We start from the raw sequence: 14954 nt of genomic DNA on the forward strand, positions 1-14954 counted from the left end.
TGCTTTGGAGCACATGATTTTATTTTATTTTTATTTTTTTATTTTTTTGAGACGAAGTCTCGATCTGTCGCCCAGGCTGGAGTGCAGTGGCGCAATCTCGGCTCACTGCAAGCTCTGCCTCCTGGGTTCACGCCATTCTCCTGCCTCAGCCTCCCGAGTAGCTGGGACTACAGACACCCGCCACCACACCCGGCTAATTTTTTGTATTTTTAGTAGAGACGGGTTTCACCGTGTTAGCTAGGATGGTCTCCATCTGCTGACCTCGTGATCCGCCCGCCTTGGCCTCCCAAAGTGCTGGGATTACAGGCATGAGCCACCACGTCTGGCCTGGAGCGCGTGATTTTAAATGTCTGTGTCATTTTTCCTCTTCTTGCCTAGCCATAATCTATTTTACCAGTCACCTATTGTATTGAGGTTATTGAGGTTATTGCAGTTTCCTACTATGCTAAATGGCTCCTGACAACAAATTTGATGGTTGATGGGCTATGTGGAGAATTCACCTTTTTTTTTTTTTTTTTTTTTTTTTTTGAGACAGAGTCTTTCTCTGTCACCCAGGCGGGAGTGCAGTGGCATGATCTCAGCTCACTGCAACCTCTGCCTCCCAGGTTCAAGCGATTCTCCTGCCTCAGCCTCCTGAGTAGATGGAACTACAGGCACCTGCCACCACGCCCAGCTAATTTTATTTTTGTATTTTTAGTAGAGAGGGGGTTTCACCGTGTTAGCCAGGATGGTCTCGATCTCCTGACCTCGTGATCCGCCTGCCTCAGCCTCCCAAAGTGCTGGGATTACAGGCGTGAGCCACAGTGCCCGGCTAATTTTTGTATTTTTAGTAGAGACGGAGTTTCACCATATTGGCCAGGCTGGTCTCGAACTCCAGACCTTGTGATCCACTCACCTTGGCCTCCCAAAGTGCTGGGATTACAGGCATGAGCCAAGTCTTTTTTTTTTTTTTTTTTTTTTTTTGAGACGGAGTCTTGCTCTCTTGCCCAGGCTGGAGTACAGTGGTTTGATTGTGATCTCGGCTCACTGCAACCTCAGCCTCCTGGGTTCAAGCGATTCTCCTGTCTCAGCCTCCCAAGTAGCTGGGATTACAGGCACATGCCACCATGTCCGGCTAATTTTTATATTTTTAGTGGAGACGGGGTTTCACCATGTTGGCCAGGCTGGTCTCGAACTCCTGACCTCAGGTGGTCTACCCACCTTGGCCTCCCAAAGTGCTGGGATTATAGGTGTGAGCCACCGCACCCGGCCTTGTTATTAGTCTTAACTAGATTGTTGATTGAAGTCCTTAAGCCCAGAAATGTATGTGAAGGATGGTGGAGAAGAGTGGCTCAGGCATTCTAGGCAGAGGTATTCTTGAGCTGAGGAAGTGGAGGAGAGGAGGTATGTAAGTTACCTGTTTTCAGGGGTTCATTCCAGTGGATAGTGGATGCCACTCCCTGGCAGACACTGTGGGTGCCTCACCTGAAAGACTCCTGATTCCCTGAAGGCATTGTCGGGTGTATTTTTTCTTTATAAGCGTAATGCCAGTGGAGTGGGTAAGACAGGTACCACCTTTTGCATCTGCTGCTACAGATTAGGCAGCTTGGTTAAGTTTTGTTTTGTTTTTAATTGTTATGAGTTAGTTTGAACCAAAAGGATTGTTAAGTGGAGTGTAAGAAGCACTGAATAACTACTGTTATCTGAGAGGAGTAGTAAAGACCAGGGCCACTGGGCAATCCCAGAGGCATTAGGAATTTGTGGCCTTTCCCTTTAGAGCATTGTCATTATGTGTATCTGCATCTCTGCATTCCAACTTTCACATTTTCAGTTCCCAGGAGAGAGAATCTGATTGGCCTGGTTGGGGTCCTGTGCCCACTTCTGGCTGTCACCTGTGGCTTTCTTCCCTCAGTTGTAGACCACACTCTGGATACCTGGGACCCCTGAAATCTCCTGCCCAGACAACCCCAAGCTTCTCAGGACTTTTTGTGGGCTGCTTCCCTGTTCTGCCTGTGCAGTGCAGGCCTTGTCACAATGTCTGAATGCTTAGGCCAGAGACGTGGGGGTTTGGTGAGAAAGGATGAGCTGGGTAGCTACACTCAAGTGCAGAGCCACCAGTATTGTGGGACAGAGCCAGGCATGGGAAGAGAAGTGGGCACGGATGGGGGCCAGCTTTCCCGATGTGCCTTAATCTGGCACAGAACTCCTAAGGAGTGTGAAAATTTCAAATTTGATCCAGGCCTTCCAGGTGGTTATGAAGAAGGCGAGTTTGTCAAGACAGGATAATACAATATACTTCATTTAATAGCTTGTTAGTGTGATTTATAACTAAATATGTAGACATCATATATGGGTCTTCATTCATACTCTTGCCCCAGGCCCTGAAAGTGTTAGCTAACAGGCAAGACCTGCCTGGGACTGAGATTCTAAAACACAACCTCCACCCCCAACTCCGTTTCATCATATAGTAGCCTAACATATTAGTTGGTTCGTTGCTTATAGTCAGGCAAACAACAAAGACTCCGAATTGAGCTCTTGGTAATTTTTGAAACCTGCCTGGTAATACTGTGTTTCCTCATTCTGATGGCATTCCCAGACCATATTGCAAATGACTTGATGTGTATTTTCAGACTTGTTGAGAAGGGCCTGGTGGTCTATATAGCAGGCATAAAATGTCACCAGGCCGACTTCATGACTTATCTTTTGAGGTCAAACAGACCCATTGACCAAAAGATTTGAGGGCAGTGAAAACATCTTGTATACTATCTTTAACAATGGATTTAACTCCTAAAGGAAAGCCACCTAAACATGACTGTTTAATCTTCACTAGCAATTTGAACTTTTTTTTTTTTGAGACGGCGTCTCACCTTGTTGCCCAGGCTGGAGTGTAGTGGTGTGACCTTGGCTCGCTGCAACCTCCACCTCCTGGGTCCAAGTGATTCTGCTCCCTCAGCTTCCTGAGCAGCTGGGATTACAGGTGCCTGCCACCACACCCAGCTAATTTTTTTGTATTTTTAGTAGAGACAGGGTTTCACCGTGTTGGCCAGGCTGGTCTCCAATTCCTGACCTCTAGTGATCCACCCGCCTTGGCCTCCCAAAATGCTAGGATTACAGGTGTGAGCCACCACACCCGGCCTGCGCCCAGATAATTTTTGTATTTTTTTTTTTTTTGAGAGTCTCGCTCTGTCCCCCAGGCTGGGGTGTAGTGGCACGATGGGTTCACGCCATTCTCCTGCCTCAGCCTCCCGAGTAGCTGGGACTGCAGGTGCCTGCCACCACGCCTGGCTAATTTTTTTGTATTTTTAGTAGAGACGGAGTTTCGCCATGTTAGCCAGGATGGTCTCGATCTCCTGACCTTGTGATCTGCCCGCCTTGGCCTCCCAAAGTGCTGGGATTACAGGTGTGAGCCACTGCGCCCAGCCAACAATTTGAACTTTTATCTGTCAAATCTATATGCATCCTTAGCAAGCTTTGTAAACTGCCTGGTAACTGATAGATCTTGGTTCACTTAGCTTCCCAAATTATGCTGTTATCATCTTGTCTCTCTGTTCTTTAAATATCTGGTTGGGAGGGTATGGAGAGAGAGGGAGGAAGAAAGACACCTCTGTAAGTTTGAAATTATTTGCATCCCCCCCACCGCCCACCACCAACCTTTTTAAAATATAGAGACACAGAGTCTATACCACGCCTGGCCTAAAATAATTTTTTTTAGAGACGGGATCTAACAGTGTTCCCCCAGCTTGGCTATCTTAAACTTCTTAAGGGTAGCTAGTTCTAAGAACTGCTTTTTTCTGGCTAGGCACAGTGGCTCACGCCTATAATCCCAACACTTTGGGAGACCGAGGCAGGCAGATCACCTAAGGTCAGGAGTTTGAGACTAGCCTGGGCAATATAGTGAAATCCTGTCTCTACTAAAAATACAAAAATTAGCTGGGCGTGGTGGCATGCATCTGTAATCCCAGCTACTGGGGGCGCTGAGGCACGAGAATTGCTTGAACCCAGGACACGGAGGTTGCAGCGAGCTGAGATCATGCACTGCACTCCAGCCTGGGTGACAGAGGGGGAGACTGTCTGGAAAAAAAAAATGTTTAAAACAAAAAACTGTTTTTTTGTATGTGTGTTTATATGCGAACCATTTGTGAAAGTGGTCCCAGCATGATGCCACATGTGTCATTTCCAAATATTTCAGTCTGTATTTTTTTCTCTCTCTCTCTGTTTTTTCTGTCACCCAGGCTGGAGTGCAGTGGTACGATCTGGCTCACTGCAGCCTCGACCTCCTGTGCTAAAACAGTTCTCTTGCCTCAGCCTCCTGTGAAGCTGGTACCACAGGTGCATGCCACTGCACCCAGCTAACTTGTAGAGATTGGGGTCTCACTTTGTTGCCCAGGCTGTTATTTGACTCCTGGACTCAGGTGATCATGCCACTTTGGCCTGCCAGAGTGCTGAGATTACAAAAGTGAGCCACCACACTCAGCCATAAATGTGTTGTTGTTGTTGTTTTTGAGACAGAGTTTCGCTCTTGTTGCTGAGGCTGGAGTGCAATGGCGCGATCTCAGCTCACTGCAACCTCCCCCCTCCTAGGTTCAAGCGATTCTCCTGCCTCAGCCTCCCAGGTAGTTGGGATTACAGGTGCCTGCCACCACGTCCAACTAATTTTTGTATTTTTAATAGAGACGGGGTTTCACTATGTTGGTCAGGCTGGTCTTGAACTCCTGACCTCAGGCGATCCACCCGCCTCGGCCTCCCAAAGTGCTAGGATCACAGGCGTGAGCCACTGTGCCTGGACTTGTAAATGGTATTTCAAAGTAAAATATATGTCATTGCATTTATCAAGATAATTTGATTGAGCTTTGTAGGTCCTAGCCATCCTTCTGCCTATTACTGGGCTTTTTGCAAATGCTGTTCCTGTTTCCACAACCTGGAGCATTGTCCCATCCCTTTTATTGTTTCTCTTGCTGTTATTTATTATGTCATCCATCATCATTATACCATTCCTCTGCCAAGAAACATTTAATTTTTGTTTTTGTTTACTATTACAAAAATGTTTTATAGAATATTGTTAGACTTACATTCTTGCCCCTCATTGTGGAAGTATTCCTGTAGTATGAATACAGCCAGAGGTTTTTTAGTTTTGTTTTGGTTTTTTTGAGGAGTCTTACTCCTTCATCCAGAGGCTGGAGTGCAGTGACGCGATCTTGGCTCGCTGCAAACTCCACCTCCTGGGTTCAAGCGATTCTCCTGCCTCAGCCTCCCAAGTATCTGGGACTACAGGCGGCCGCCAGCATGCCTAGCTAATTTTTGTATATTTGTAGAGACGGGGGTTTCACCATGTTGGCCAGGCTGGTCTCGAACTCCTGACCTCATGTGATCCGCCTGCCTCGGTCTCCAAAGTGTTGGGATTACAGGTGTGACCCACCGCGCCTGGCCCAGTGAGAGTTAAAGGGCCAGAGTGGAAGCAGGTCTTTGGAAGCTTGGCTCTGTCTTCCTTCAGTGCAGGGAGTTTGTGTTGTCCATCCCCAGCCTCTACAGAAGCACACAGTGAGTGTTCAATAAGCATTTCTTGGATCAAATGGCCCCTGCTTCTTTTAATGGTCAGTAAACTTTAAATAATGAGATTTTTCTGCAATAGAGAAGAGCAACTGCCTTGTGATTGGAAGCCAGCATATGTTATTCCTAAGCAGTTCTGCCTTTTTTCCACAGAAGGTGGTCTTCTGCCCTGTTAAAGAAGCCCTGGAGGTGGACTGGAGCAGTGAGAAAGCAAAGGCTGCTCTGAAGCGCACGACCTCCGACTACTTTCTCCTTCAAGGTGAGGTCTCAAAGCACAACTTACCCCGGGAGAGCTTTTGGCTCTGATTTCTGCAAATGTGGTTGCAAGGTCCAGATGGTTTTGTGATGTTTGCCTTGGGTGGCATTCTTCATTGGCTAGTTCTCAGTGATCACTTGAGAAAGGGGTGGTCACTTGAAGGGGGTGAGGTCTACCATTGAGCTCTGGGTTCTAATGACTTCTCCTTTTTTTACTTGTTGAAATGACCTCCCTGTCAAGTTGACCTTATGGTAATAGTGTTACAGGTCACAGATTGAGAAACCTCTTTTTTTTTCTTTTTTCTTTTTTTGAGACAGAGTCTTGCTCTGTCACCCAGACTGGAGTGCAGTGGGGTGCAATCTTGGCTCACTGCAACCTCCACCTCCTGGGTTGAAGCGATTCTGGTGTCTTAGTGTCCCCAGAAGCTGGGATGACAGGCATGCACCACTGCGCCCGGCTAATTTTTGTATTTTGAGTAGAGATGGGGTTTCACCATGATGCCCAGGCCCTGAAGTTCTGAGATTATAGGCATGAGCCACCATGTGAAGCCTGATCAACCAACTTCTCTTCACCGCCCCCCGCCTTTTTTTTTTTTTTTTTTTTTGAGACAGAGTCTTGCTCTGTCACCCAGGCTGGAATGCAGTAGCGCTATCATGGTTCACTGTAGCCTCTACTTCCTGGGCTTAAGTGCTCCCCATGCCTCAGGCTCCTGAGTAGCTGGTACTACAAGCACACGCCACTGTGCCCAGCTAGTTTTTGTATTTTTTTGTAGAAGCGAAGTTTCTCCATGTAGCCAGGCTGGACTTGAACTCCTGAGCTCTAGTGAAATCCCCGCGTTGGCCTTCCAAAGTGCTGGAGTTAAAGGCGTAAGCCACCAGTGCTTGTTCCCCTCTTCAGAATTCTTTCTCTGCCTCAAAACCATCCTCACGCTTATGAAAGGTGGGGTTGTTTTTCCTCTTGCTATTAATGAACTACTTATCAGTCCATCTTTGCTGGTGGTCAAGAGACTGTTAGTAAGTATTGGTTGGCTTTTCAGTGTTCTTCCTGTACCTGGCACTTTTTTGTTTGTTTTTGAGATGGAGTCTCGCTCTGTCCCCAGGCTGGAGTGCAGTGGTGTGATCTTGGCTCACTGTAACCTCTGCCTCCTGGGTTCAAGCGATTCTTCTGCCTCAGCCTCCCGAGTAGCTGGGACTGCAGGCGCGTGCCACCACACCCAGCTAATTTTTATATTTTTAGTAGAGACAGGGTTTCACCATGTTGGCCAGGTTGGGCTCACTCTCTTGACCTCGTGATCCGCCCACCTCAGCCCCCCAAAGTGCTGTGATTACAGGTGTGAGCCACCGCGCCTGGCAAACCTGGCACTTTTAATTTTTATTTTAATTTTTTTTTTGGAGACGGAGTCTAGCTCTGTCGCCCAGGCTGGAGTGCAGTGGCACGATCTTGGCACACTGCAACCTCTGCCTCCCAGGCTCAAGCAATTCTCCTGCCTCAGCCTCCCGAGTAGCTGAAATACAGGCGGGCACCACCATGCCCAGCTAATTTTCTTTTTTTTTGAGATGGAGTCTCACTCTGTTGCCCAGGAGAGCAGTGGCGTGATCTTGGCTCACTGCAACCTCCACCTCCCAGGTTCAAGCGATTCTCCTGCCTCAGCATCCTGAGTAGCTGGGATCACAGGCACCTGCCACCACGCTTGGCTAATTTTTTGTATTTTTAGTATTTTTGTATTTTTTTTGTATTTTCACCATCTTGGCCAGGCTGGTCTCGAACTCCTGACCTCAGGTGATCTGCCCACCTCAGTCTCCCAAAGTGTTGGGATTACAGACGTGAGCCACTGCACCTGGCTGCGCTAATTTTTGTATTTTAGTAGAGACAGGGTTTCACCATGTTGGCCAGGCTGGTCTTGAACTCCTGACCCCAGGTGATCTGCCCACCTCAGCCTCCCAAAGTGCTGGGATTACAGGCATGGTAGTTTTTTAAAAAGTATTTTTTTTAATGTTATTTATGCATTTATTTTTTTGAGACGGAGTCTCACTCTGTCACCCAGGCTGGAGTGCAGTGGTGCAATCTTGGCTCACTGCAACCTCCACCTCCCGGTTCAAACAGTTTCCCCGCCTCAGCCTCCCGAGTAGCTGGGATTACAGGTGCCCACCAGCACACCCAGCTAATTTTTGTATTTTTAGTAGAAACGGGGTTTCACCATGTTGGCCAGGCTGGCCTCAAACTCCCAACCTCAGATGATCCACCTGCCTCGGCCTCCCGAAGTGCTGGGATTACAGGCGTGAGCCACCACGCTCAGCTGGATGAACTATTTGAAAGTCCCGAATATCCATTTGTGTAGAAATAAATGGGTTGAGCAGGAATGAGTGTTGCATGTGAGTGGGCTGCACTCAGAAAATGCCTCCTCTTGATAGTGGGATCAGGTGTGGAAGAGGCACCAGCAGTAAGAGCAGAGTCTTTTCCATGTGGGAACAGTGCCTGGGCCCTTTGGGAGAAGCTTGTTGCTCACTGCCTCGCACATAGAAAGCCCTCAGGAAACAATGGCGCTAATTTGCCAAGGTTTGGGTTTGACTTGAGCATCTCTAACTGCTGCTTATGAAAGGAGTCAACTGGGCTGGGCTACTAAAAATACAAAAATTAGCCGGATGAGGTGGTGTGCGCCTGTAATCCCAGCTACTCGGGAGGCTGAGGCAGAAGCACTTAAACCTAGGAGGCAAAAGTTGCAGAATCCGAGATCATGCCAAAGCACTCCAGCCTGGGTGACAGAGCTGAACTCCATCTCCAAAAAAAAGGGGGAGAAACAGAGTCAATCACAGATCATCTACTCCAGAGTTGAAAAGTGTACACGCCAAAAAAAAAAAAGAGAAAAGAAAAAAAGCACATATCTTCACGGATGACAGAGTTCTCTAGGACTTGCTCTGTGCCGGGCGTTTTCCATGTATATCACCTTCATCTCACAAAGGCCCTCAGGCAAGTGCTATTAACACCACCAGCTACAGAGGGGAATCTGAGGCTCAGGGAATTTAAAGTCAGTGGCTCAAGATCACCCATCTAAAACAAAATGGCAGTGCCCACTGGAAGCCAGGTCTGTTTTGATTCCAAAGGTCTTGTTCTTTTTCTTTTTCCCCAGAGACAGAGTCTTGCTCTATCACCCAGGTAGGAGTGCAGTGGGGCGATCTTGGCTCACTGCAACTTCTGCCTCCTGGGTTCGAGCGATTCTACAGGCACGCACCACCACACCCAGCTAATTTTTGTATTCTTAGTAGAGGCAGGGTTCCACCGTGTTGGCCAGGCTGGTCTCGAACTCTTGACCTCGTGAACCGCCTGCCTCGGCCTCCCAAAGTGCTGGGATTAGAGGCGTGAGCCACCGCGCCCGGCCCAAAGTCTTGTTCGGAACAACCATGCACCACTGCCTGCCACAGAAGTCATATAGCTACTGTTTCTTCCTCAACCACCTGTCCACCCCTCCAACCCCGTAACTTCTGATGCTGATGTCCAGTAGCACCTGCACTGAATATTCACTTTGCTCCTAGATATCAGTTTTGTCCCCTCAGTTCAATGACCCCTGTGATGTTGAGATGGATGAGAAAATACTCTGGAAACTGCAGAGGATAAAATCAGGATTTCCTCACTTCAGCACACTACTGACATTCTGTGCTGGATAACACTGTCACGGGGGACTGTCCTGTGCACTGTGGGATATTTAGTAACACCCCTATCCTCTACTCACTAGATGCCAGTAATATCTCCCCACCCAGCTCTAACATCAAAAAATGTTTCCAGACACCACTGCCACATGTCCCCAGTTGAGAACCACTGGATTATGCTAAACTCAAAGGCCAGTTGACTCCTTTCTTTTCTTTCTTTTCTTTTTTTTTTTTTTTTGAGACGGAGTCTCTCTCTGTCACCCAGGCTGGAGTGCAGTGGTGCAATCTCAGCTCACTGCAAGCTCAGCCTCCTGGGTTCACGCCATTCTCCTGCCTCAGCCTCCCGACTAGCTGGGACTACAGGCGCCTGCCACTATGCCTGGCTAATTTTTTGTATTTTTAGTAGAGACGGGGTTTCACCGCGTTAGCCAGGATGGTCTCGAACTCCTGACCTCGTGATCCACCCGCCTCGGCCTCCCAAAGTGCTGGGATTACAGACGTGAGCCACTTCGCCCAGCCTGTTTACCCTTAATTCCATCCCTCAGTGGGTATTATGGCAACAGTCTCATGAGTGCCTATGACCCTTTGCTGGATAATATATCCTATCATGTTTACCACTCTCTCCCAGATGGCATTAATTATCTGTCTTTTTCAGTTTTGAGTTCCAGGGCTTTGGATATGGTAATCAAAACATTAAAACTATGTGCAGTAAATTTCTTTTCTTTTTTCTTTTTCTTTTTTTTTTTTTTTGGTGTGGTGAAAAGCACATAACATAAAATTTACCATTATAACTTAAGCGTATAGGTCAGTAATAATCATACAATGTTTTATTTTATTTTGTTTTTTTCTGAGATGGAGTTTCGCTCTTGTTGACCAGGCTGGAGTGCAATGGTGCGATCTCGGTTCACCACAACCTCCACCTCCCAGGTTTAAGCAATTCTCCTGCCTCAGCCTTCTGAGTAGCTGGGATTACAGGCATATGTCACCACGCCTGGCAAATTTTTTTTTTTTTTTTTTTTTTTTTGTGAGACGGAGTCTCGCTCTGTCTCCCAGCCTGGAGTGCAGTGGCATGATCTCAGCTCACTGCAAGCTCTGCCTCCCGGGTTCACGCCATTCTCCTGCCTCAGCCTCCCGAGTAGCTGGGACTACAGGTGCCCGCCACCATGCCCGGCTAATTTTTTTGTATTTTTAGTAGAGACGGGGTTTCACCATGTTAGCCAGGATGGTCTCGATGTTCTGACCTCGTGATCCGCCTGCCTCAGCCTCCCAAAGTGCTGGGATTACAGGCGTGAGCCACCGCGCCTGGCCACATTTTTGTATTTTTAGTAGAGACGGGGTTTCACCATGTTGGCCAGGCTGGTCTCAAACTCCTGACCTCAGGTGATCCTCCTGCCTCGGTCTCCCAAAGTGCTGAGATTACAGGCGTGAGGCACCGTGCCCGGCAGTGAGAACATTTACAATCACATATTGTGTAGCATCAGGAAGGATTTTTAAGATCAAAGTTAGCACATTAGAAGTGGAAATAATTTAAAAGTGGCCTTGATTTTTTTTTTTTTTTTTTTTTTTTGCCTACTGTAAAGTCAAGCCTCAGTAACATTCTGATTTCAGGATGCAGGGTGGCTTTGGGGGATATCCAAGTTGAGTGGTAAACTTTGTAGGCACTACTCTTGTTTCCATGTTCCTGGCACCTAAGTTGATATATTTTCTCACAGTCTTGTGACAATCTTTGAAGTATAGTTGTTATCCCATTTTCCTATAAGGAGACCAAGGTTGAGCATGGTTGTGATTGCCGAAAGTCATATCCGTGGTTTTATAGACAGTCAGAATTTAGACCATGAGGTTTGTTTTACCTGTGGACTTAGTTTTCAACATATTTAAGATATATCTGTAGTCTGGGCGCGGTGGCTTATGCCTGTAATCCCAGCACATTGTGAGGCTGAGGTGGGCAGATCATTTGAAGTCAGGAGTTCGAGGGCAGCCTGGCCAAGATGGTGAAATCCCGTCTCTACTAAAAAACACAAAAATTAGCCAGGCATGGTGGCACATGCCTGTAGTCCCAGCTACTTGGGAGGCTGAGGTGAGAGAATCTCTTGAACCTAGGAGGCAAGGTTGCAGTGAGCCGAGATCGTGCCACTGCACTCCAGCCTGGGCAACAGAACGAGACTCTGTCTCAAAATAAAATAAATAAAATATCTCTAAACTAATATATCTCATTAAATTTCAGATCTGGAGTTCTGTGAGTTAGGGAAACAGGATCACCACCATAGTAGAAAAAACTCTGGTGCAGATAGTTTTAGACACAAAGATTATCTGAATTCAGGCCCAGATAATTGTCTTCTTTTTCCCCAAGAAACATTTGAATTGTATTTCTGTTAGATAAGCATCATAGTAAAAAGTCTTCAAAGTTTTTGAAGGCAGAAAAAGTTTTCTTTGTTAAACCCTTCCCATTTTTTTGTCTTCTAAATTTCTAGGAGAACTACTGTTAAGTTTTTTAGTATCTTGTTGAACAATGGTTAACAATTATAATCATTTGTGTTTATGTAATCAAACTGTGAAACACCGGTTGGGAACTTGCTTGTGTACACTTGATGGCGTAAATGGTAGGGGAAGAGCATACATACAAAAGTGGCCTCTTTTGCTTTCTTGGCAGCATGATGTTATATTCCTTTGGATGTACCGTCATCTATGACCAGTCTCATCTTGAAAGGCATGCTTATTTTCCATTTTTCCCAGTGCTTGGAATTTGTTTCCAAAATTGTTTCTAGGAACATGACTAATGTGACTGACGATGCCTTAGGAATTCCTAGTGGGGACAAGGTGCTTGGCTGGGATGCATACCTAAGAATATCTCACAAAGAAACCTGATTTTGTTTCACTATTGCCTAATGGCGCACATAGTAGGTGCTCAATAAATAAATATTTTTTGCATGAGTGGTTTTTGCTTGTCTGGTCATTTGCCCTATTGTAGAGGGAGAGTAGTGTGCCCACTGGAGTCCCCACAGGGTCCTTTTGCCTGCATGCCTACCCCTGTGGCACCCATCAGGCTTTTGATTCCAATGTTGCCCTGGGCTCTCACTCACAGGTAGATGTTTTTTATTGCCCCATTCACAATTCAGCCACCTGCTGTCCGCATGCATGTGCTTGCCATGTTTAGATATTGGGTGTTTTTCCAGTTTACTTAATAAGTTAGTGGCCAGACTGTACGCTTCCTGCTGCATTTTTCCACTGTCTTGAGAGTTGGCCTCGCCATCTGTGAGCAAAAGGTCTCTTCTTTTTATTATTCTCCCATGGCATGTTGCAAAACAGTAAGCGTGAGCTGGTTTCCTGTGGCAAAAAAATGACTTTGATTTGTTCTTTTTGAGGTTACTGTGAGTTTATCATAACAGGAGTGCTAAAAATACCGAGTCTGGTATGGAAACAGCATTCACTTACCAGCATGAACAATAACATACAGGTTTAGCCTAGAGCAGGAAGAAATGGACTTCATCTCAAGATGAGAATACTTATCAGAGAATTCTTGGCAATCTTAACTTGCTCAGTCTCTGTTCTGATGAGTTATGGAAAAGTACTTAGACCATCTTTGAGCCACAGAATTGAAGCTGAAAATATTCTTAGACCAAACATTTTGTGAGCACCTGCTATGTACCAGATCTCATAGCTGGGACTAATCAGAGGAAGAGGAATAGAATAAGTGTTCTTGCCAATGTGAAAGACAAACAAATAATTCTACTCCTTGTGAGGACAGCTATAACAGAGGGCTATAGAAACTATCATGTGTTGTTCCTGGTTTTTGTTTGTTTTTTTTCCCCCCCAAAACAGGGTCTTGCTCTGCTTTCCAGGCTGGAGTGTGGTGGCACAATCATAACTCACTATAGCCTTGAACTCCTGGGCTCAAGTTATCCTCTCACCTCGACCTGCAAAGTAGCTGGGACTACAGGCGTGTGCCACCATGTCCAGCTATTTTAAAAAATCTGTTTGTACAGATTGGGGCAGGGAGGTCTTGCTATGTTGCCCAGGCTGGCCTTGAACTCCTGGCCTCAAGAAATCCTCTCACCTCAGTTTCCCAAAGAGGGACTATAGGAAAGCACCACCCTGCCTGGCTCGTTGTTCTGTTTTTAAATACATTTGCATTATTCCATAATAATCAAAGTAATTTATTATGGGAACTTAGGAAACTGAAGGTCTGACCATCTTTGGGGAGTTGTGAAGTCTTGACAGAGGAGGGGAGATCTGAGCTGTATTTCTCGGAACAGGTATTTGCCAGGTGGGAAAGAGGGAAGAATATTGCAGAGCAACACATGCACAGGGCCAGCAGGATAGAGGCTGAGCCTCGGAGGGGACTGGAGCTTGGAGAGAGCAGGCTAGTGGTTTCCCTATTGATAGAATATCAGAATCTGGCCAGGCGCGGTGGCTCACGCCTGTAATCCCAGCACTTTGAGAGACTGAGGTGGGCAGATCATGAGGTCAAGAGATCGAGACCATCCTGGCCAACATAGTGAAACCCCATCTCTACTAAAAATACAAAAATTAGCTGGGCATGGTGGTGTGCGCCTGTAGTCCCAGCTACTCGGGAGGGGGAGGCAGGAGAATCGCTTGAAAACCTGGAAGGCAGAGGTTGCAGTGAGCTGAGGTCGCGCCACTGCACTCCAGCCTGACGACAGGGCAAGACTCCATCTCCAAAAAAAAAAAAGAAATCTATCTATCTATCAGTCAGAATCACTGAGGAAACCGTTGAAAAATGCGGAGTGCCTGCTTGTAGCTCACATTACTGAATCCAGATAGCTAGGAGTGACTTGCATGTCTGCATTTTTCTATAGCACCCAGGTTTCTCAAATCAGCCAAGTTAGGGGAAAGTACTGTCATAGGAAAGGGAAGCCCATTTCCCAGGTCAAAGCCTTTGCTTACTCGTTTATGTTTATTTTATTTTTGAGACAGAGTCTAGCTTTGTTGCCCAGGCTGGAGTTGCAGGTGCAATCTCAGCTCATTGCAACCTCCGCCTTTTGGATTCGTGCAATTCTCCTGCCTCAGCCTCCAAGTAGTGGGGATCACAGGCACACGCCACCATGCCTGGCTAATTTTTGTATTTTTAGTGGAGACAGGGTTTCGCCATGTTGGCCAGGCTGGTCTCGAACTCTTGACCTCAAGTGATCCATGCACCTCGGCCTTCCAGGTGCTGAGTTTATAGGCATGAGCCATCGTGCATAGCCTGCGTTTTTCTTTTAAAATGTGTTAAGCACTGTATTTCAAATTACATTTGTGCACTGAAGCAGGGAGGAAAAAGGAGCTAACCCAAGTAGCTGTTCAATATAGTATTTTGACTGCATACCCTCAAAGTAAAGAAAAATCTCACCTGGCGCGGTGGCTTATGCCTGTAATCCCAGCACTTTGGGAGGCTGAGGTGGGTGGCTCACAGGGTCAGGAGATCGAGACCATCCTGGCTGACACGGTGAAACCTCGTCTCTACTAAAAATACAAAAATTAGCCGGGCGTGGTGGCGGGCGTCTGTAGTCTCAGCTACTTGGGAGGCT

General features: G+C 46.7%; 1 protein-coding gene across 4 annotated transcripts in view; it reads left to right on the plus strand.

Annotated features, from left to right (window-relative positions):
• Positions 1-14954, plus strand: part of SAE1 (SUMO1 activating enzyme subunit 1) — a 79802-nt gene that overhangs the window by 33304 nt on the left and 31544 nt on the right. For all 4 annotated transcript variants that reach the window (NR_027280.2, NM_005500.3, NM_001145714.2 and 1 more), the window contains exon 6: positions 5680-5785. Coding sequence is in view for 3 of the 4 variants with exons in the window: in NM_005500.3 (NP_005491.1) it covers positions 5680-5785 (106 nt within the window). In the remaining variant the exon portion in view is untranslated. The remainder of the gene's footprint in view (positions 1-5679; positions 5786-14954) is intronic.

Source organism: Homo sapiens, chromosome 19, assembly GCF_000001405.40.
Source record: "Homo sapiens chromosome 19, GRCh38.p14 Primary Assembly".
NCBI classification, from domain to species: domain Eukaryota; kingdom Metazoa; phylum Chordata; class Mammalia; order Primates; family Hominidae; genus Homo; species Homo sapiens.